The 23,495-nt window shown below is 40.8% G+C and overlaps 1 long non-coding RNA gene and 1 pseudogene across 2 annotated transcripts in view; one reads left to right on the top strand and one right to left on the bottom strand.

The window, feature by feature from the left end:
- The window catches only part of LINC02451 (long intergenic non-protein coding RNA 2451), a 40,119-nt gene extending 19,384 nt beyond the window's left edge, over positions 1-20,735 (top strand). The window contains exons 4-5 of one of the 2 annotated variants that reach the window (NR_135027.1): positions 15,956-16,097; positions 20,646-20,735. This is a non-coding gene — a long non-coding RNA (long intergenic non-protein coding RNA 2451). Of the gene's footprint in view, positions 1-4,395; positions 4,528-15,955; positions 16,098-16,736; positions 16,851-20,645 lie in introns of those variants that run through there. The other variant, NR_135026.1, reaches the window with a different exon arrangement.
- RPS27P21 (ribosomal protein S27 pseudogene 21) lies at positions 12,851-13,192 on the bottom strand (annotated as a pseudogene).
- Positions 20,736-23,495: the final 2,760 nt, after the last annotated feature.

Genomic DNA, 23,495 nt, shown 5'->3' on the forward strand with positions numbered 1-23,495 from the left:
AGCGATTCTCCTGCCTCAAACTCCCAAGTAGCTGGCATTACGGGCACGCACCACCACGCCTGGCTAACATTTTTTTTTTTTAAGTAGAGACGGGGTTTCGCCATGTTGACCAGGCTGGTCTTAAACTCCTGACCTCAGGTGATCCACCCACCTTGGCCTCCCAAAGTGCTGGGATTACAGGCGTGAGCCACTGTACCTGGCCTATTCTATGAGTTTTGACGCTTGCAGAGATTTGTGTAACCACCACCACATTCAGGATACAGAATAATTCCATCACCCTCTAGGTCAATGCTCTGCTCTCACAAATAATCCTTGGTAAGTATTGATCTGTTCTTTGTTGCTATGGTTGTATACATATTTTTGAAAGTGTTGTTTTAATGGAATCATACAGTATGCCACTTTTTGAGACTGCCTTTTTTCATTCAGCCTAATGCACTTGAGATTCATCCAAGTTGTTGCGTGTATCAGTGGTTTGCTCCTTTTTATTGCTGAGTAGCATTCCATCCAATGGCTATTTATCCATTCACTGAATGAAGAACATTTGGATTGCCTCCCATTTTTAGCAATTATGAATAGAGGTGTGCCCATTTTACTATGAGCATGTTTTCATTTATCTTAGGTAAATACCTAGGAGTAGGATAGCTGGGTCATATAGTAAATATATCAAATAATACAAAATAAAAACAATTGGAAGAGACTGCCAAACCATTTTTTGTTGCCCCAGAATAAATGATGCTATAGAAACGAATCTTTTAGTGCCTCTGAGCTCACCCATCTAAAAGCAAAGCAAAGAGTACTGGTTCCTCCAAAGAGCAGCCATTGATCATTTGTCTGACTCAATGTTTATTCCTACTCACTGCTGTGAGAAACCACCCTCTGGAAGGCAAGCACTTTGCGTCTTTACATGCAGAAGTGGGCGGGGCTGGCTTTGTGTTGAGTCAAGGGTGCGTGTTACTTAGAGGTAGCTTAGGTCGGAGCACTGTCTGGGTCCACAGAATCAAGCAAAGCTTGGAATGAACTATACAACAGCAGTGGGAGGCTCAAGCAAAGCTTGGAATGAACTATACAACAGCAGTGGGAGGCTCAAGCAAAGCTTGGAATGAACTATACAACAGCAGTGGGAGGCTGCTGTGCTTTCTGCCTAAGCTTAAAGAAAGAAGACACACCTGGGGTCCTGCAGTAGAGCACTCAGTTTGATACTTGGGCACATTAAACATTCAGCAAGAACAGTGCCTGAACATTGTCTTCTAAACAGTATCATCAAAATGTAAACAGATAGTGTGACAATCCTATAGCGATTCTGTTGTTGGATGTCTTTTCTCCTGATTGGTCTCAGTGCCCTGAAACAATTCCTTCAGCCTGAACTGCTGGGAATTCAGATTAGCCAGCATCAAACCAACCCTTTAATGGGATCCATTGGCAATTGCACACAGCAGAGGTTAAGCAAATCTTAGGAACAGCTTTTTACTAATCACAGAAAAAGATGCACTTTATTTATATTTTAACACATCCCACTGTATTAAATCCAATGAAATGAATCAGAGATAAGCTATATAAAGAATATATATGTATATTTATATGTGTATATATATACACACACACACATTTCAGGTAATTTTGGTAGCACTTAAAAAGTTTGTCTGATTTAACTTCTATGACACCACAACTTTAAACCGCTCCTAGCACAACTATAAAATAGAAAAACTGACATATGTAAAAAAAAAAAATGGATCAGGGATCATATCAGACAAACTTATAATTATAAGCAGAATTATGGTAGAAGATAAGTAGCAGTTGGAGAAACTCAAAAGGTTTTTGGGCTTGTTTTGGATGACCCTCAGAAGGTTTCATTTCTCAGGCAAATGTTCTGTCTCTGGAGTTGGAAAAACTGGACTTGAACTCTTATGAGAACAGGTAATTCCTCCTGGTTTGTTTTGATGACCAACATGGCCAGAGTAGCTTCTTTCAGGTGTTTAGCGCTTGTGCTAGAGCCCCTTTCAGAAATCAGAAATTTAGACAACAATTAAAAGCAAACAAACAATAACATGGCCACGCATATAGTTGTGTGAAATCTTGCTAGTCCCCTTTTTCTTCTCCCAAAATGTCTAGACGAAGCACAGCGGACTGACTGTTCGCAACCTCAGGCTAAATTTCCTGAAGTTCCTCCTTACTATCTTACTCTGCTGCTTTCACAGAAGGAACCAAGGCTAAGTTCTCAATTGTTTCTTTTTTTTTGTTTTCCTTTCAAATTACCTAAACAGTAGGTTTGTGGTCACCTGGTTTGAAATGCCCTCTATTTTCTCTGAAGGCCAAGTATCCTAGTATCCTATATTTAGGTATCACACCTGTGATAGTTAACCAAGACTCTCAGGCTAGGCGCGGTGGCTCATGCCTGTAATCTCAACACTTTGGGAGGCCGAGGCCAGTGGATTGCCTGGGCTCAGGAGTTCAAGACCAGCCTGGGAAACATGGCGAAACCTCATCTCTACTAAATATACAAAAATTAGCTCCGTGTGGTGGTGTGCGCCTGCAATTCCAGCTACTCGGGAGGCTGAGGTGGGAGGATCACTTGAACCTGGGAGGCAGAGGTTGCAGTGAGCTGAGATTGCACCACTGCACTCTAGCCTGGGCGATAGAGTGAGACCCTGTCTCCACACACACAAAAAAAGACTCTCAGGAAGTATTTGTTCAAAGACTGAATTCACTCATATATTCAACAAATATTTAGTGGGCGCCTAAATATATGTCAGATACTATTCTAGGCACAGAGGTGATCAGCACTAGGCATGCAAATAATTCTGCCCTAAAAGAGCTTACATTCTGGCAAAGGAGAGCATCAGAGCTGTCTTGACTGGTATACAACATTTCACATTCAAATGATTATTTTGTTCCAACACAGAATATTCTGCCTCAGGTGATATTTCAGTCATATAGATATAACTGAGGAGGATAAAGGGTATACATTTGTTTTTCTACTTACCACATAGGTATCATTCTAAAAAAGCAGTGCTAATATTGTAGCATCCTATCTGATAACTACAGTTACCTGTATCTGAATGTTTTTGTAAATTTTATAATGTCTTCAGGTCTATGTGACTTTTAAAATATCCAAAATTGATGTGGATTACTCATCAAAATTTGAAATGGTAATTTTTAGCCATGAAGTAGAAATGAAAAATGAAAATGATTGCTTCAAGATTCTGCAAGATGTTTTGCTGTAATTGTATACCAGGCTTAATAACGGTCGAGTCTGACATCCACGTTCCAACATTCTGTTGGAATTAATTGAGGTAAAATATTTGTGGATCTTTTCTTTCTTTTCTTCTCTGTGTATTTATAATTCAAATGAATGAAAGGAGCCTGATTACTAACTGGAGAGTTCACCAGGTTACTTTTTTCTTTTTTGTGGTTAAAGCTGCATAGCCACAATTTATTGTTACTTGTTACCTGTCTCCATCCTCAGTATTATCTGGTGATCAAGTTGCACTGAGAGATGCTATTTTTGTATAATGCCACAGGACATATGCATAGAAGTTTTTCACATCTTACGTTATGTAACTGAAAGGCATTAGAGCTAGTTCCAAATGAATCTTTTTGTTTAACCAGTTCCTAAAGAACTCATCTTTTATATGTACCAGCTGTATCATACAGTTGAACAATTACAATTCTTAGAGGTCACTGTGTGTCCCATTTACCATATAAATAGCAGTGTGATGGTCTGGAACCGTTCGATTTCTTATTTTCCTTATATGCCTTCTTTCTGGTGTTAAAGCATTAAGGAATTTTGACATAATGATAAGCTGCTATTTAAAGTCCTCACTTGTGAAGATTGGAATGCAATGCATTCAGAAGAAATTTACAAGCTATGCATTCATCAGAGGTTAGAGCCAACAACAATGAGCATTGTTTGAAGGCAGGAAACAATTTACATTTCAAATTTCTGTTACCTTGATTACTTTGACCATGGAGGTGATTATCAAAAAAATTTAATAAGATTTTTAAGATTCTTATACAGTCTTATAGGAAGCAAAATATCTTCGTGATAACTAAATACATGTAATTGCTAGCCAGATGTTTTGTTTTTGTAATGCCAAATAGCTGGATGTTAAGAAACATTGGTTAATTGTGTTTTTAAAGTTTTTTTCTTTTTTTAAATGTGAATGTATGCTTGCCATAATGTGGTCAGAGTTACACGGTCAACATCAGAACATGGCTGTTTTGTAGTTTTATATCATAATACTAATACACAATCTCAAAAGTATATCTGGAAAAGATTTCTTTGCTATGTAGAATTCTCCCTGATTTCTGAAGAAATTACATCCAGTTGTATAGGGATGTTTATAAGAATAATACAAGGACAAGTGATCATTATCCAATTAAATTGGTATTTTGCAGGAGAGGACCTAGCAAAGCCGGGGTTACACATCAAAATGGAACAGAAGAAAGCTTAATTTCAACTCAAGAAACTGGAGAATTGGCCAGGCGCAGTGGTTCATGCCTATAATCCCAGCACTTTGGAAGGCCAAGGTGGGCAGATCACCTGAGGTCAGGAGTTCAAGATCAGCCTGGCCAATATGGCAAAACTCTGTCTCTATGAAAAATACAAAAATTAGCCAGTAGTGGTGGCAGGTGCCTGTAATCCTGCTACTCAGGAAGCTGAGGCCAGAGAATTGCTTGAACCTGGGAGGCAGAGGTTGCAGTGAGCCGAGATCGCGCCACTGCACTCCAGCCTGCGTGACAAAAGTGAGACTCCATCTCAAAAAAAAAAAAAGAAAAGAAATAAGAAACTGGAGAATGAACTGAAGAATCAATTTATAGATCACTTCATCATCTAAAGTGAGCAAAACAATCTCTTGTGGCAGTTGGAATAATTGGTAATAATTGGCACATTGGCTGAAATTTCCACTAAGTGAAATTGCTGCAACAATTAATATTTTAATAATATAATGATTGTATTTAATATATTTCATAATATAATGATTTAATAATATAATATTGGGTATATATAGAGATCTATCTATGTATCTATCTATATAAAGTGAGACTCTACACACACACACATACACACACACACACATATATATTTGGAGACAGGGTCTTGCTCTGTCACCCAGGCTGGAGTACTGTGGTGCCATCACAGCTCACTGCAACCTCAGCCTCCCGGACTCAAGTGATCCTCCAGCCCAGCTTGCCCAGCTAATTAAAAACAATTTTTTTTGTAGAGACTGTCTCCTTATGTTGCTCAGGCTGGTCTTGAACTCCTGGCTCAAGCTGTTACTAGTGGAAGTTATCTGAGTTTCCAGTAGCGAATCCGTAGGGGTCTGCAGCAACCTCAGTTCTTGCCTCCTCAGAAGAAAGAATTCGACTGAGGGGCATAAAGCAGAAAAATAGACGGAGGCAAGTTTCAGAGCAGGAATGGAAGTTCATTAAAAAGCTTTAGAGCAGGAAGGAAGGAAAGGAAGGAAAGTACACTTGGAAAAGGCCCAAGTGGGCATCTTGGAGGTCAAGTGCGGCTTTTGACCTTTGACTTAGGGTGTTATATGTTGGCATACTTCCGGGCTCCTGTGTCCCTTTTTCCTTGATTCTTCCCTTAGGGTGACCTGCCAGCATGTGCAGTGGCCAATTGGCGCCTGGGAGGTGAGCATGCACAGTGTGTTTACTGGAGTCTGGCACATGCTTGCCTGGGACTTCGTCCCTTTTCAGGTGGAATGACCCGGGAAGGTCATACTCCGCCATTTTGGTTCTTAATGCTCATGCTTGAGCCCGCTCACCCAGTTCCTGAGATCTTAATTGAGAAGCTGTCAATCACCAATTTCAGGTGTTTTCTATCTATAAGGGACCTGCCTTTCTTTGATGCTGGCTGTAACCAATTATTATTTTAGAGAGGCAGTGGGACAACTGCCTGACCATCACCTGATGGTTGCCTGACTTTGCTGGTGAGGTGTGGTGGGGAGCCCTCTCCTACCCTGGTTATGCCTGACTAGTTACCTACTGTAACAAAGCCATCCTCCCGCTTCCGCCTCCCAAAGTGCTGGGATTATAGGTGTGAGCTGCTGCGCCCCATGTATTTCGTTATATTTAAACAAAACTCTGTGTTGATGAGAATAGGAGAACCTTTCCCCCATTTATTTTGTATCCTTCTTTAGTTCTCTGAAGAGCTCTGTATAACATTCTAGATACTCAGTTAAATGCTTGTTTATTCTAAAAATGTCCCAAAATTCAACAGCCAAGACTTTGGCATTGTAACTTATGAGTTGCCTATAGAGAAAAACAAAACATCTCCTTTCTGTATGCTAAATGCCTCCAGGTACTTTTTCCCAAGCGTGTTTTATCTGAATCAAAAAGTAACACAAATTAACAAAAGTCTCCAAAAGTTCTTATTTCAGTTACTCATTTATTCAACATACATTTAGTAAACAGATACTTTATGCAAAGCCTGTTGCTATGCACAGAAGGGGTATGAAAGAGAAAAGGGAAGGGGGGAATATTCCTTCTGGAGGAGGCACAATGGCCCATGCACTGTGCTAAGCATTTGATATCTGTGGGGCTATCCGAAGACATAGCTACTGCCTTCAACACGTTTGCAGTCTAGCAAGGAGGTATGACGGGTACTATTCCTATAGCGAGGTAAAATGGGAGCATGTGCCACAAGACAAGTACAAACTGGACTGCATGTTAGAGTGGACAGGAAGAGACCACTTTCAAGTTGGGAGGTCAAGAAATCCCAGCTGAGAATTGGCTAGAATTTCAAGGATTTCAATAGGAGAGCGTAGTATGTGGTGGCAGAAGTTGGGGAATCTAGAAGTCGGCATAGGTAGATGTGTGATGTAAAGAGTATGGGTAGGAAAGAAGTGGGAACTATTTGAGCAAAAAGAAATGCAGTTTAGACCAGGCGCAGTGGCTCACACCTGCCATCCCAGCACTCTGGGAGGCCAAGGTGGGTGGATCTCTTAAACCCAAGAGTTCGAGGCTAGCCTGGGCAACATGATGAAACCTTGTCTCTACCACAAATACAAAAATTAGCTGGGCATGGTGGAAGGATCACCTACCTGAGCCCCAGGAAGTCGAAGCTACAGTGAGGTGTAATGGCACCACTGCACTCCAGCCTGGGTGACAGAGCAAGGTCCTGTCTCAAACAAAACAAAACGAAACTAAACGACAGAAAGAAATGCAGTTTAGGTGGTGAATAGGGCACACTAGAGCCTCCTGAACATGTCAGACCAAAAGAATTACTTCTGTAAGTGTTCGTATCTGTGGGAATTAAAAAAAAAAAAAAAAAAGAGGTTTCTTTTTAGGTTTCGCCTAAATCTATTAACTCAGAATCTCAGGGGTACTTTTTTTTGGCAAACGCTTTTCTTTTTAAAGCAAGTACTCGAAGTGATTGCTAACATCAGGTAAGTTTGGGAAGTCCTTGGAATGTGAGGGCTGGAATGATAAAGGGAGGCCCTGCACTTGGATTGTATTCAGAAGGCAATCTGTTGCATGCAAGAATTCCCACCTATTTGGTCAATAAGCAAAATATTCCTAAATTGTCTTTGTCTGTATGCCTTTGACTCTTCAGTCACATTCTTTTAGACATTTGGGAACCTAGGTCGCTCAGGTAAATGTGACACAAGGCCAGCCCTCCCCATGTTGAAGAATTGTGACACTGTGGAGACAGAGCGTGGATCCACACAGTCCAAATGGAGCAGGCAGCTGCTGCTAAGAGCTTCTCTTTCACTGAATTGGGCCATGTTCTCTGTGGCATGTTTAAATAGCCCTTTAAAGGCAGTAAAAATGGGTTTCTATTGCTCAATCCCTCCTCTGTGGTTGCCCCACTGACAGGACTGAGACATGTATTGAGTGGATGGGAAATGTCATTCTGGCTTGGTCTCTTCTGTCTCTATTATTTTAGAAGTGAACGCTCACAAGCTGTTAGGGAATGGATGAACAAAATGAAAAATCACTGGTGCTAGATCCAAGTCTTTTAATTTTTATTAACAAATGCTCTCTTATCTGGACCATAGGGCATGATGGCCTTTGGAATGCCCAAGGAGAGGACCTTCCCTTTTCATTTTGTCTCCTTCTCTTTATTTGTCCCCTTTCTATTTTATCTTTCTGGACCCAAGTCCTCATTTCTAAACGCATCTCTTCTTGGCTCTACTTCCCAGACTGGCTCCCTCATGCCTTCCCCTGAGTCTCTGGTCTCCTTAGCTGTCTGTGTCCCCTCTTCCTGCAGCTTCCCACCCCTTCATCATCTGAACTCATCCTCAGCCTCTCCAGAGCAACATCATGATCTCTTCACTCTCTCTCAACCTCCTTGCTTTTCACCCTTGCCCATGAACTCCATCAACCCATTTCCAGCTTCCCCTTCCTTGACTTCTTGTCCTTTTCTTTTGGTGCTGCTACTCTATGCCCGGTTGTCCAGCTTCATTCTTCCCGTCTCCATGTTTCCTTCAACATCTCTGCCTCTTCCCATCCTGCTCCTGGCTGCCCTTGATCTGCTTAAAATTACAGTAATATCACTGAATTCTGCTTCGAGGTAGACTGGAAGAGTGGTTGGGACCAGAAATTAAGAAGAAAGGTGGTCAAGGGCATTCACTGGTTCTTGGGCTCCACTGCCCGTTTTCAAGTTCAGACTGTGTGGTCTTTGTAAGTGCCTCTTTGTGCTTCATCTTAATCTTTCAAATGGGCCTGCTAGCAGTATGCAAGTTATAAGGCTATTATGAGCATTGAATAAGCTCATATATGTCAAACACTTAGAACAGGGCCTGGCATGTAAATACCGTGAAAGTGTTCATTGTTATTTCTCTATTTGATCTGTGTCCTGTAACTGCTTCCTTTTTCATTCACACTGAATATGTCTGCACATTTCCCAGGTTATAACATTGGTATAATATTTGTAAAAATTTTTTAAAATATTATTTCTTAGCTGGGCACCGTGGCTCACACCTGTAATCCCAGCACTTTGGGAGGCCGACGTGGGTGGATCATGAGGCCAGGAGTTCGAGACCAGCCTGACCAACATAGTGAAACCCCGTCTCTACTAAAAATGCAAAAAAATTAGCTGGGTGTGGTGGCGGGTGCCTGTAATCCCAGCTACTCAGGAGGCTGAGTCAGGGGAATTGCTTGAACCAGGGAGGTGGAGGTTGCAGTGAGCTGAGATCATGCCACTGCACTCCAGCCTGGGCAACAGAGTGAGAGTCTGTCTCAAAAAAAAAAAAAAAAAAAAAAAGAAAGAAAAAAGAAAAAAAAATTATTCCTTAAGATGAAAAACTTTAGTATTTGCTTTCTACAGTGTATGTATAAGCTGGTGTACAACAGAGAAGATGCAAGCTCCCTTTCCACTGCATGTCTGCTCAGAAAATGACTAGTCCATCTTTGTGAGCAGAAAGTTCAAAGCCAAAGTTTGGTTGATTCAAGTAATTCCTCTTTGCTAATATACACTGAGAAATGGTGAGCCGTTCTTTTATCTTTTCCCTATTTGTCTTTAGCTATGTTCATCGACCTAAACTTGACAGTTTGTGTTATGCTCATGGACTAGAAAATGAAATTGCAGAAAATAAGGAAGAAGGAATTGAAAGAAGAGACTAGAAAGGGGGCATTTTACAAATTGTGAAAGATGAATATCAGCACCTTGTTTTAAAACGAGAAATGGATCTCCAGAGAGGAAGGACCGATCATCCTTTAAAGTAAAAGGTCTATAAACTGTCATGCATCAGATTTACCTGAAGGAGTCTATCCTCAGGCTTCTGACAAGTTCAGAGTTGCATTTTAAAGAAACTCCCAGGTGATGCTGTGATATAGTTTGGCTGTGTCCCCACCCAAATCTCATCTTGAATGGTAATCCCCATAATCCCCACGTGTCATGAGGGACCTGGCGGGAGGTAATTGAATCATGGGGCGGTTTTCCCTCACGCCGTTCTCGTGATAGAGTTCTCACGAGATCTGATGGTTTTATAAGCGTCTGGCATTTCTCCTGCCCGCATTCATTCTCTCTCTTGCTGCCCTGCCTTCTACTGTGATTGTAAGTTTCCTGAGGCCTCCCCAGCCATGCAGAACTGTGAGTCAATTAAACCTTTCTTCTTTATAAATTACTCAGTCTTGGGCATTTCTTCATAGCAGCTTGAGAATGGGCTAATACATGCTGCTATAGTCCAGGGACCATACTTTGAGAAATACTGCCATAGACTTTTCTTCCTGTCCCTTCATAACACTTTATTCTTTCCTTTTTGTTCATTAAAAATAGTAGTATCTCCCTTAGTAATAGGGAGATATTACTGCTCTAAAATAATTTCATTCTTCATTGGCGTTAATGCCATTTATTGTACTTTCTATTATCTTTATTTGTAAAGTTGTCCTCATTCACATACAATGAATTCTTCTCTTCCTCCTGAGCCCTCATCACCAGCTCCACCTGCCTGAGTCTGCTAGCACCAGCTCCACCTGCCTGAGTCAGCACACCTGAACCCCGGCTTCTTACTTGCAAATCCTGCCCAAATGACCAATACATACTGAAATAGAGACTTTCTACCAGGTTAGAGTATGGAAAAGAAGGGTCTTGAGGTTGAGCTAAAGCAAGAGAATTACCACCAAGAGTTTTCCAGGAGTGTGCTCAGCCAGAAGGGAGAGAGCAAAACAACAGGGTCAGAAGCTCAAATGCTGGGTGACAGACATGGTGATGTATGGAGCTGAATGTTAGCACGAGGACCATAATAGACACCTATTGCTTTTGCCTTCCTATCCCCCAATGTCTCTCTCTCTTTTTTTTTTTTTTTTGGTGGAGCATCTGACTTTACTTTTAAGGAACTTTTTTTCTTTTATATTTTGTAGGTCTAATTTGAGGCCCTACTTTCCCAGCCCCAGGTATGGGCTCTAGGCTTTTCAATGAGAGTAGCTCATGCTCTGGTTGGGGTGACTTGTGGCTGTCTGGACATGTGGCCCCAGGGGGCTATTCTGAGTCCTTTGAAGCTTGAGATGGAGGGAAAAGAAGGCCACTCTTCTTTGGAAAGTTCAGAAGCTAAAATTATGTCCATTAGGGCTGCTGGGGACTACACAGTCTTCCATTTGGAGAAACCATTCCTGAAGATGAAGTCAAGACTAAAGAAATCAGGATAAGGAGAGAGATGGAGAGGGAGAAGAAGAGGGAGTTCAGTTATTTGAATCCCTGAATCTAGCTACGCCGGAAGCCAAACTACTGTTGGAGTTCTCAGTTATGTGAGCCAATTAAGACTCTTTTTTGCTAAAACCACATAAATTGGGTTTCTGTCATTTGCAATAGAAAAAAAAAGTCCAGAAGGTCATTAAAAATGTTGCTTTGGTCTATGGGATATCCATATCCTGTCACCTTGGTTTTTCCTTTGAAACCTCCCTCATTTCCCTACTCTCAAGTGTATGGATAGTGACACTTGGCTTGGCCAATCTGTGATTTCCATCTTCTAGGCCACAGCAATTGGTTCAGGGATGAGCACAAGGTGTAATCCAGGTCTGGGAGACTCATTTCTGGATTTTTTTTTTAATGAAGTGTTGGAAACGTAAAGCTAATTTTTTTTCCTGAAATTGCAGTGCTAGAGGACATCAGCCTGGGTCTGTTGGGGTGATTATATAGGATGGGCTTGTGTGAAAGCCAAGCCCACAGAGAACATGTGGATGTAGGAAGATCAAGGCTGATGACATCAAGATTCAGAACAGCTGAGGTTAAGAGGTTCAAGAAGCTTAAAAACACATTAAAGAGAATTGTTAATCAGCTGCAGAGTGCACATGTTTAGAATCACAGTAAATCATGGTCAACTTAAGCAGATTTTCCTAATTGGCTTTGTGTTCCGAAAGATTTTAGTTGCAGTTTTAGCCAAAGTTTTTTCTGTCTTTTGCTCCATTATATATAAGGATAAAAATGATTCTTACTGAAAATTATGATAGAATCAGAATTTCAGTACTGAAAGGGACCTTAGAGTTTATCTAGCCTTGCGGTTTCCAAGTTATGGGCCATATCATTTTTACAAGTGGTCCCTAAATTCATATGTGTCACAAACATCATTCTGCAGATAAAAAAATGCTTATATCTGGGACACATATGTGGATTATCATTTTTCAAATGAATGCAGGTGGTGCTATGATTATGTTAGAATTCATTTAATGTTTGGACAGAAAGCCCAGTACCATTTATCAATCAGTAAAGCCATTTTTTTCAATCAGTAGAAACGTTTACTACCAACCTTTTAGTAGGGGGAAGAATCTGAAAACTGTTGATGTTAACATATTTCACCTAACTGAAAGGATTTTAAAACATATCCCTGGCCCAAAATGTTGATTTGTAATAAGTGAAGAATCTAAGAGGTTACATGACCTGTCTGAACATTTGTAGTGGTTCTGTGCTACTTTTGTCATGGTGCAAGGCTGTGGAAAGGTGGCTACCTAGGGGACATGGTACCTACGTGGTACATGGAGAAGAGGTGAAGAGTCTTGTGTCATTATATCTCTGCCACCTGTAATCCTCAACACCATCCCTGGCTCCTGGGTGTCTTCCTGCCCTGCCCATCCTTTTGTGCCCCTTCCCCTGGCTTGCTGCACTCTTGTCACATGACTTCCTTCCGGTGTTTTGGAAAGGCTCTGCTTTTCTCATCCCCGGTATTTGGCACACGTGATTGCCTGTCTAGAATGCTCTCAGCCCCATTCCTTTGCTTGAGTTAATGCCTCCTCTGTCCTCACCTCTCAGCTCAAGAGTCACTTCCTCAGAGGAGGGCCACCACGATTACACTCATCCCAGCTCCTGTCCAAGGCAAGTCCTTTTGTTGTGTGTCTTCTGCAGACAGCATTGCTTTCCTTGGGCATACTTCCCTTGGTGTAGAACTCTGCTTTTTTTTTTTTTTTTTTAATCCAAAATGTGTTTATTGAGTTTCCCACTCATCTTGATTCAGAGTGCTTTTAGTGCTGCTTCCTCCTGAAGGAACATCCTTCTGTAAGCCTTGCTTTTCCTCCTGTAGGCTGTCAGAGGACAGTGGAGCAGTCAACACACAAAACTACCATTTGTGCATGGCTAAAGACCGTGGTGATTTTATAGCATCCTGGGCATTTCACATCCATGAAGTAGGAATTGGGGCTCTGCACCAGGCATTTCTTCTTGTGTTTCCTCTTCTCCTCTTCTGGGGAGGGATGAAGGAGATCCTTTGCGAGAGGCATGTTCTTGTGTGGGTAGGTCGTCACCGCTGGAAAGTGGAACTCTGCTTTTGTGCTGGCATTTGACGAGGTCTGATTTCCCCACCTGAGAAAGTGGAGTCCTAACAGCCGAGACAGTGTTGATTTTTGTGCATAATTGTCTTCACCGGTGCTTGGCATGTAATAAAATGTGTTGCACAGATGAAGCAGAGGCTTCTAAGGTGCTTAAATTCCTGCTCTCTCTGCTCCTCTACCTCTGTTATGCCAAATTTCACATTCTCATGCTTCATTTTTACCTTTTCTGTCCCTGTAACTAGTCTTGGAACTCTTCAAGGGCAGAAACTGTATTGTATTTATCTTTATATCTATGTATCTATTTTTATCTAAAATGTGAAGAGAAGGCCCACCTGCAAGCTTGTGACATAACCAGAAAACTATGTCCTATATACAGCCCTCCTAAAAATAGCCCAGCATGTGCTCTGGTATAATCTGACTCAGATGCTTTATGTAGTAGAATTTCAGGAATATGCCTGTCTTTACACACTCATTAAAACCCCTGAATTGAGTTAGTCTTTTAAGTGTATTTCAGCAACTGCTATGATAAGATGAATGTATTATCCCGGATTTAACGAGAAGCAGAAGCTCCATGAACTGTGAGCATTCCGTTGCTTCACAAACACCCCTTCTCTACTTAAACTCAAGTAAGAGCTAAAGGGTTGAAGGATGTGTGGGCTGGGAAGACCACCCAAGAATAATGTCGTATTTACTGTAATGTATAAGCACAAACTTTTAGGGTTATACACCATGGGTTTGAACCTTAGCTTTGCTACTAACTACCTGTGTGGCCTTAGCAGGACTCTCTTTCTCTAAGCTTTATTTTCTTTGCAGCTCAGTAGAGAGAATAACAGTACCTGCTTTATAAGGCTGCAGGGAGCATCGTGGAAAGCAAGCATGTGAAGTACTCTGCACAGGCCTGACTTGAGGGCTCAGGGCCATAACTACTGCTTCCCCTCCCTCAGTAGGAGGCAGATGGGTGGGTGGGAGGCAGGTAGGTGGGTGGGTGGAGCTCGAGTAGCAGGAACATCCTGGATGAGACAGTGCTGCCTCTTCTTTCTCTGTAGCCAGAGTGGTAAATGGGAGAGGAGTAAAAAGGTCCCGGGGAATAGAGAACAAACTTATCCAAGCCATGATCAACCATTTGTTCTTTGGGGCAAGGAGTGGGGTTGGGGGTTGGGGTATGAGTGACTTGAAGATAAAGGTGGGACATCTAACTGACATTGGTTATAACGGTAAGTTTGTTTCAGTAAGAATAAAATATCAGGCTGGGCATGGTGGCTTATGCCTGTAATCTCAGCACTTTGGGAGGCTGAAGTGGGAGGATCGTTTGAGCCCAGGAGTTTGAGATCAGCCTGGACAACAAGACGAAAACCTAGCTCTGCAAAAAATACAAAAATTATCCAGCCGTGGTGGTGTGTGCCTGTAGTCCCAGCTACCTGGGAGGCTGATACTGAGGGTGTGAGGATCACCTGAGCCCAGGAAGTCGAGGCTACAGTGAGCTGAGACCATACCACTGCACTCCAGCTTGGGCGACAGAGGGAAACCCTTTTTTTAAAAAGAAGTAAAAAAGAATAAAATATCAAAAGACCTTGAGGAAGGAAGACAAAACAGATACACTTAAAATACAGCTCAATGGCAGATCCTGGAATAAAACATTGTCTTAGAGCTTCCTGGCAGCTGTGGACTCTGACGTATTTTCATCGTAGATTTTAAGTTTTTGTTTTTCTTTGCATAATGCCTAATTTACATGCTGATTTCTCCTGAAACCTGATGTTGAATTGTTGCTTTTTTTAAATGGAAAGGATTTAGATTAGATCATGGAGTGAAAGAATACTGTAGTTTATAAAGTGCAACACAAATGTAAAAATAATCGTTAAAGCATTCTAACTCCAATGAACTATCTTCTCCTTAGTTCCTTCTAATCCACTCTCCAGACTTGACCAGAGGGTTATTCCTAAAACACAATCTGGTAACATGTTTCCTTTGCTTATAGTCTCTGTCCTCCATACTTACCGCAGTAATTGTCATTTTCTTTATATTAAGTTTTTGTTAAATGGTCTAAAATCACACTGTATTAAAAGCAGCAATCTTTACTCTTTCCTTCCCCAGTCCTGTTCCTCAGAGCAGAGTTTATAAAACTACCTCAGTGTTCAAGTGCTCATAACACTCAAGTGCATTGGTAGGGTTTCTAGGACTTAAAAAATTATTTTAAAAATGTAACTATCATAACCACTTACAGTAAGTTGGGAAATTACCAAAAAAAACTGTGCCTTTGCTTATATTGCCCTAATGGTACCATAGTTTAACCATTATCATATTGTTGGCTGGACCCCAAATTATATAATTGCCTTAATTTGGGGCCACTTAAATTATTTCCAATTCTTATTGCTATAATCTATGGAAAACATCTTTTTTGAATTTATTTTGTTTATATTAAAATATAAACATATATTTCAAAATTGTTTCCTTAGGGTTGATAGTCCAAATGGCAAAATCTGGGCCAAATAATACAAATACTTTTATGGATCATGAAACTCATAAACTATCTTCAAAAATGATTTGCCACTGTCCGGTGCATCCAGAAATACATTCAAGTACTCTTTTCACCTCATCCTTGCTATTCCTTTTTTGATTTTGACTAATGTCTCATTGTTTTGAAATCTAGACCTTTACAAAATTCTCTAAGTATTATTCTTGGTGGGAAACATTAAGACATAAAATATAAAACTCTACTTGTAAACTTGAATTTCTTTTCTTTTTTGAGGTGGGGACTCACTCTGTCACCCAGGCTGGAGTGCAGTGGCACCATCTTGGCTCACTGCAACCTCCACCTCCTAGGCTCAAGCGATCTTCCTATTTCAGCCTCCCAAATAGCTGGGACCACAAGCATGTACCACCATGCCCAGGTAATTTTTTTTTGTTTTGTGTTTTTTGTAGAGACAGAGTTGCACTATTTTGCCCGGGCTGAAACTACGATTTCTTTTAAGGTTTAAAATACTGAAACTTTATTGTTTTCAAACTCTTAATTATGAAATTACCAGATATGATGCGTTCTAGCATTATTTTCTCGTACATTTAGAATTTCTACCTTGTTTTATTTCCTGCAGCTTGTTGCTGTAGGAAAAGGTATGGTGAATCACATGCCATTTTGTGTTGGCCAAGAAAATAACTCCATCTCTAGTTGTCTGGCACATCTTGACAAAATATATGGTGCAGTTTAGAAGTGTTTCAAAGGCTTCTTACTCCAAAATTTGGGGAAAAAACTATCCATTGCTTGCATATGTGAGCATAAAATGATTCACTTGGTATTAATGCCTTTAGGTTCTTTGATTGACTAGGGTATATGAGAGAACTAAGATAAAGGAACACTCATTAAAGGCAGATAAAGACTTGATACTTTTTCTTTATTCACTGGGTAAGATTTATAGTATGGTAATCAGAAATTCCAAACTGGCTCTCAGGCATTGTATCTACATGATGCCAACTTTTGTAAGTGAACTGAAAATTTTGTTCTCAAACCATTGCTTCATGCTATTTTTCACCAGGGCAAATAAGCAGATTGATCTCAGGAACCAGAGGTTGCATGGATGGCTGGTCCAATTGATCCGCCTGTCCTAATGGATCATTGTGTAACAGGGAGGAAAAACAGGAAACTTGATTTAGGCACCATTTTGATCAGAGACTGAAGTCAAATGATGTGAGTACTCAGGTCATTATGATTCCTTTAGTTAACTCCATCCTGTAGAGTAGGGAGCTCTGCTGATGTCACCTCAGTCATGCTTATGACAATAGAATTATTTTTCAGGGGGTCAGTATTTGGTAGTTTTGAGAGAAGGTTCAGTTTTACTAGAGGAATGTTATAAATGCAATAGTTTTATTATAATTTCCATGTAACTTTTGAAGAGGAAGAACATACATGGTTTTCTCAAGAGTGAAAAACAATTGTCAGCAAACAATTTGTTGTGAAAAAATGCCCTTTAACTTTTATAGATGTTTGTGTCTGTCCAATCCTGGCTTCTTCTCAGTTTCTCAGAACCCTCATCCATCCCACCCACCCCATCCCAGAATTTGTATGACCCCTGGCAAAACACAAAAGTCCTCTCCCCACTAATGAGAGGTTTGGGAAACATATTCTCTTGTGTGTTATTCCCCAAATAGTTGTTTCATACCATTCTTCAGAGGCAAATAAATGATCTGTGCTAAGGAATCAGTTTCATGGGTGTTTAGAAAAATGGATCCATCTGCCTTAATGGATAATTGTGTGACAGAGTTAAACAACAACAATAACAAACACACTTAGCCTTCAAGCTTTGGGGCTGCAGTGCCTGGAGATCAGCCAGATCTTTCCTGTTCAGTGACAATAAACATGTGGTAGTGTCCTGAACCAATGCTCATCTTGGGAGGAATTCAAGATTTGGGGGTAGGGTGTGGAGGTACAGAGAGGGAACCTACTGTTTGGTGCCTTTCTGCTAAAATCGTAGTCCTAGCCTTTCAGCTATTTTCTTCCTTAGCCCCTCTTTAACATTTCCTCAAGCCCCCACTCCCTGCACATGCAGAATGAGTGTGCTTCCTCCAACCACCAATCTCTCTATCCCCTGAATCCCCTACGCAGAGGAAGAGCCCAGCCCTGTGCCCTGCCTTGTTGCCTTATCCATAATAGTCAAGTCTCTTGGAGCTGGGCATCTTTTCACACTACCTTAGCTTTGTATTCATCTAACTTTTGCACTTAGAGATTTATTATGCCCTGGGACTATTTCCTCAGCTCAGAAGCCTGGAGGTGGGTCGCAGAGCTTTGCTGTTCTTCCTCATGAGGGCTGCACCTCTGCCAAAATATTTTTCTTCCTGCTGCTGCTTTTTCACAAGGTTGTTCTCTTGTCCCTTTCCCCATGCTGGGCAATCCGTCCTGTGCTGTGGTTGGGTCAGCCTGCTTTTTGGAAGGTATTTTTTACATTTGCTTCAGTTGTTTGGATTCTAAGGCAGGGTACACCCTCTCTGTGGTCTACGTGTGAAAATGCACATTTACAAAACAAAGCCAATATAAATGGATTATGCTGTTGACTTAATAAGAACAAAATTTTCTAGCAACAGGGAATAGAAATGTAAATTTAGTTTTTGGTGATTCATTACTTAATAGGAAATATTCCAATTCAACATTTGTAAATAAAGTAAAAGTACAATTTACTTATTCATCTGTTTAGTCAGCATATATTATTTGAGCATCTATTATGAGTCAGCTTTCACACTAAGTAATGAAGACACAAAGAAGAATGAAACAATTCCCAACCACATTGGGAAATCTGACAGTCTAAGGGAAGAGACACATACAAAAAGAGGTCATTTGAAAACAATGTGATATTCTAGTAACAGGATATACACAGAGGATTAAGGGAATATGAATAAATGAATAATTGAATGAGTGAATGAAGTTTTCTATTTCCTTTAATGTAATAGAAAACAAGTAGTTCAATGGCTACTTACTGGATATAGAGGGTTGAAAATAAATCTGCACTTAAAAAAACACTCCTCCTATAAAGGCGTGGGTTTGCATTCTTTCTCCTGAAACTGGGCAGGTGTTTTCACTATATTTCCCAACAGTGTGTGATGAAAGTGATGCTGTGTGAATTCCAAAGTGAAGACAAAATGTGATGCTAATACTGCCTTGCTGGAGCTCCAAGCACCATGCTGTGAGAAAGCCCAAGGTAGCCTATGTAATGACACTACATGGAGAAGCCCTGAGCATACATGAATAAAAGAGCTGCCCAGCATCTCCCATCTGCTCCAACCCACCTACTGTTCCAGCCACTATCTGACAGCAAACACACGAGAGACCCTAAGCCAGAGCCTTTTTTAAAAATTTTATTTGTTTTATTTTATTTTTTGAGATGGAGTCTTGTTCTATTGCCCAGGTTGGAGTGCAGTGGTGCCATCTTGGCTTACTGCAACCTCTACTCCTGGGTTCAACTGATTCTCCTGCCTCAGCCTCCTGAGTAGCTGGGACTATAGGCACGCATCACCATGCCTGGCTGATTTTTTTTTTTTTTAATTTTTAGTAGACACAGTTTCACTGTTTTGTCCAGGCTGTTCTTGAACTCCTGACCTTAAGTAATCTGCCTGCCTTGGCCTCCCAAAGTGCTGGGATTAGTGAGCCACTGAACCCCACCCTCGTAGAATCTTTCTCAGACTCCTGACCCACAGAAACAACAAGAGAATAAAATGTTTGTTCTTGTTTCAAGACCTTAAGTATTGGATAGATTTGATATATATCAGAAAAGTGGAACAGACTGTTACTTTGTAGTGGGGTGCTGCTAGAACAAAAGATGAAAACAATTTGGGGTCGGGCATCAGGGAGATATGCTGGAAGAGCCTTGAAGATATTGTCAGCAGAAGCCTGGTGGGCCCTGAAGAATCTGTTGTAAAGGTTTAAAGGAATGTGAGGAAAACTTTATTGAAAACCAGAAGAAAGGAGGCCTTTGTTAGGTGGTGGTAGAAAGTTTAGCCAAATTGTCACCTGTAGTAGTATGGAAAAGAGAAAACGTACCCAATGAACTAATGGATCTGTCTGAGAAAATTTGCAAGCAGAATGTTGAAAAGGCCAACTGGTTTCTTTTAGACATCATGCTAAGACACAAATAGACAGATAAGCCAAAAATGCAACTGTTCAGTTTTTAATAAAAACATAGAGGAAACAGTAAGATGTCAAGACTGTTTTTGAAAATAAATGTTTCTTATTTTACCAGAAAACAAAAACTCTCAAGTACTATTTTCAGGGCAGAGATCAAATCCGGGGTGGTCTTGTACAATCCTTTAAGACCTCAAAGATGTTAGGTGGGGCCTCATATCCTTTCAAACAGACAAAAATGTTCTAAGAATCTGAAGGGTGTGCATCGCAGACCCTTTGTGTTAACAGGATTTTTAAAATTTTTTGTTTTTGTTTTTCTTAAGACTGTTTTGTTTAGGGTTTTTTTGATACAGGTTTTTGCTGTCTCTCCCAGGCTAGAGTGCAGTGGCTCGCTGTTGGCTCAAGGGATGTAACCTCCACATCCCATGCTCAAGGGATCCTCCCACCTCAGCCTCCCAAGTAGCTGGGACCACATGTGTAAGCCACAAAGCCTAGCTAATTTTTGTATTTTGGTAGAGATAGGGTTTCAATATGTTGCCCAGGTGAGTGTCAAACTCCTGGGCTACAGCCGTCCTCCCACCTTGGCCTCCCTAAGTGCTGGGATTTATAGGCATAAGCCACTGTGCCAGGACTTTTAAGACACTTAAGGGAATTTTTCGAAGGCAACCTCACAGGGAGTGAAGGCTTACTTTAAAGAGTTTTGTCTAACTTTCATTTAATGGAGTAGATTACAAATTAATATACAAAAATTTCACAAAAAATTTTAAAGGAATTGTGTCAGCTTGAACTGAAAAGGACAGACGGAGCAAAATGAAAAGAAGCCTTTGTTTTCCAGAATGAATGTGGGCAGGAAGGATCCTGAAATATCTACTTAGCTGCATTTCCAATGCTAGGTCATACATGGCAATACAACTTCTGCCTTGTTTGCTGGAACACTTGCAATGGAGCACTGTTTTGGCAGGTAAGCCGTCTGACTGCCCTGGGGCACCATGCTGTGAAGAAGTCCAGTTGGTCTACCTAGAGAGATCATATAAAGAAGCACTGCGACAGCATGCTGAGAGAGGGGGAGAGAGAGAGAGGAGAGAGGAGGGAGAAATATATCAATCCCTGGCTTACCCCTAGCTTCTCCAGACCTCCATTTTTTTTTTTTTCCTGCTCTGGCCACCATCTGACTGGGTGAGAAGTCTCAAGCCAGACCTACCCAACAGAGCCCTTCTCAAATTCCTGACTCACAAGAACTGTGAATCATAGTGAAGTAATAATTGTTTTAAGCCATTAAATTTTGGGGTGGTTTGTTATATAGTCCTAAAAAACCAGAACACTGGCCATGTAAATTTGAACAGTATATAACTTTTTATGCTTCCAAATGGGAAAATAAATATTCATTTATTTACTCTTTGATTTATGTCAGATACCTTGCAAGCAACTTAATGAATGAATGGATGAATGAACATCTCCATTTTGAGGTGAGAACATTCAAAGGTGGGCCATACAGGATTTATGTAACTCATCTAAGAATTCAAGGCAAGTAAATGTCACTAGTGGACTTGAATCATCCCAAAGCCATTAAAGTTCCATTCATTCAAACATTATTTTATTGTGTGTTAACTATGTGCCAGGCACTGTGCTAGGCAATGGGGGAATGGTGTTAAACAAGACATTCATTGTTTCTGCCCTAACAGTGCTAATATTCTTGTGGAAACTGACAATAAACAAGAAGTAATTATACATTTTGACCAACATGGAGAAGAACTATAAGAGTGCCATGATGAATTATAGGAGAGGATACTCCTTTAAAGAAGGTATTTAGGAACATTCTCTCCAAGGAGGAGACATCTGAGCTAGAACTTGAAGGTTGAGAATTAGTCAGCTATGAGAAGAGGAGACACAGCATTTTTTGTGAGAGGATTAGATGACGCGTGTGTGTTTTTTGCACAGTAGTAAAGCATGTCACTTTACAGAGCCTCAGATGAGTGGGACTGGCAGTGAAAAAGCTTTGGGTACCCTGAGAGTAGAGTGAGGGCCTTCTTGAATTTTGCCACTTTAGCCCCTTTCTTGTCTCATCCTAGTCCTGACCCTGAACATAGACTTAGAAATTTTAGATTTGTTGCATTATTGCCTATCACATTTAAGACCCATCTAATAAAAGAATCACCATAGACACAGGCGTACACAGATACGCATACACAGGAAAAAGCCAAAGGATTGATCAAAGTTAAGTGTTTAAAAATATTCATGTAACTGATGGGAATTTTATGATAAGCAGCAAGGGAATTGGCACTTACATTTCAGCACAGGGCTTGCTGAGATACAAGTCTGGGGTTACTCAATGCGGTAAGCAGGCTCATTGAGCTCATAATGTTTTAGTACCTGTTGGGGGATGAACTAATCAGCTCCAAATGGGCAACAGGCAGTGAAATTGTGTTTGTGTGAGTGTGTGTGTGTGTGTGTGTGTTTGTGAGAGAGAGAGAGAAGTGGGGGTCAGGGGGTGGGGTGTGGGGAGGCAATGTTCAGCCAATGAATGCTGTTCCAGCAGGGTTCATTTGGGAAAGTTTAATATTCACAAAGTCTTCTTCTATAACATAAATATTTGTTTTGGTCAAATTCTTAGAAACTCTTTCTGAGATTCAAAGAATATGTACTATTGCACTTGGATTCAGAATGTATCATGGCCAAATTGAACCAAGAATTCCCCTTCATTAGTAAAATCATGTTGCCCTTGCAGGTTCTAAATCATTCCTGGGACAATGCAGACGTGCCTGGGGAGATGGGGCCGAGCAGCAGACCTGAAACCAATTCTGGGCTTTGGAAAAAGGAGATACTGTGTCTGCTCACTTCATGTGTTATCTTCCAAGGATTCTTTTGGTATAAGCAGTTTTGCTTATCCTACCGTTGTTCATTTTGCTCTCACTTTCTTTGAGGGATTATTTTTCCAGAGGAAAATGTGGTTCAAGGTCATTTCTAATTCCCTACATTTATTACTGTTGGGTTATTGATGTCTTTCTACTCTGATTATTCATGCCCGTCTTAAAGTTTTCTCTTTAAGAACTTTATAACTTTTCTTCTTTTCCCACACTTCTTATTACTGGCATCACTGCAGCCTAATTGGGCCCTGGGCTCAGGAGAGGAAAAAAGCATGGAATTTACTCATCTGAAAAGTCAGTTTAACACAAGTTTATTTTCATTTATTATTTTTGTGTAGAGACAGGATCTTGCCATGTTGCCTGGGCTGGTCTCAAATTCCTGGCCTCAAGCCATCCTCCCTCCTTGGGCCTCCCAAAATGCTGGGAGCCACCATGCCTGGCTTAACACAAGTTTATTGAGTAACTACTTGAGTTGGGCATTGTCTCCTGGGTGCTAGGGATCTAGAGTTTAGTGAGTCCCTGGAAGAACTCACAATCTAGTATAATTACCTATTTGCATAACCATGTACAGTAAATAGGTAATTACGACACTAGTTTACAAACATCAAAGAAAGTAGACAGTATGTGCTGGAAGTGGGCTGCTCAGAACTGGAATGATGTAGAGCATTCTTCTATAGGACACTTCAGAGTTTTAGTCCAGATGAGATTTATTAGCTCATTAGCTTGTTAGGTTTTTAATCATTCATTCATCAAACATCTATCAAGCCCCTATCATGTGCTAGAAATATGCTAGGTGTAGGTAGCAGTAATACAAAACGAAA

This window comes from Homo sapiens, chromosome 12 (assembly GCF_000001405.40).
Source record: "Homo sapiens chromosome 12, GRCh38.p14 Primary Assembly".
NCBI lineage: Eukaryota > Metazoa > Chordata > Mammalia > Primates > Hominidae > Homo > Homo sapiens.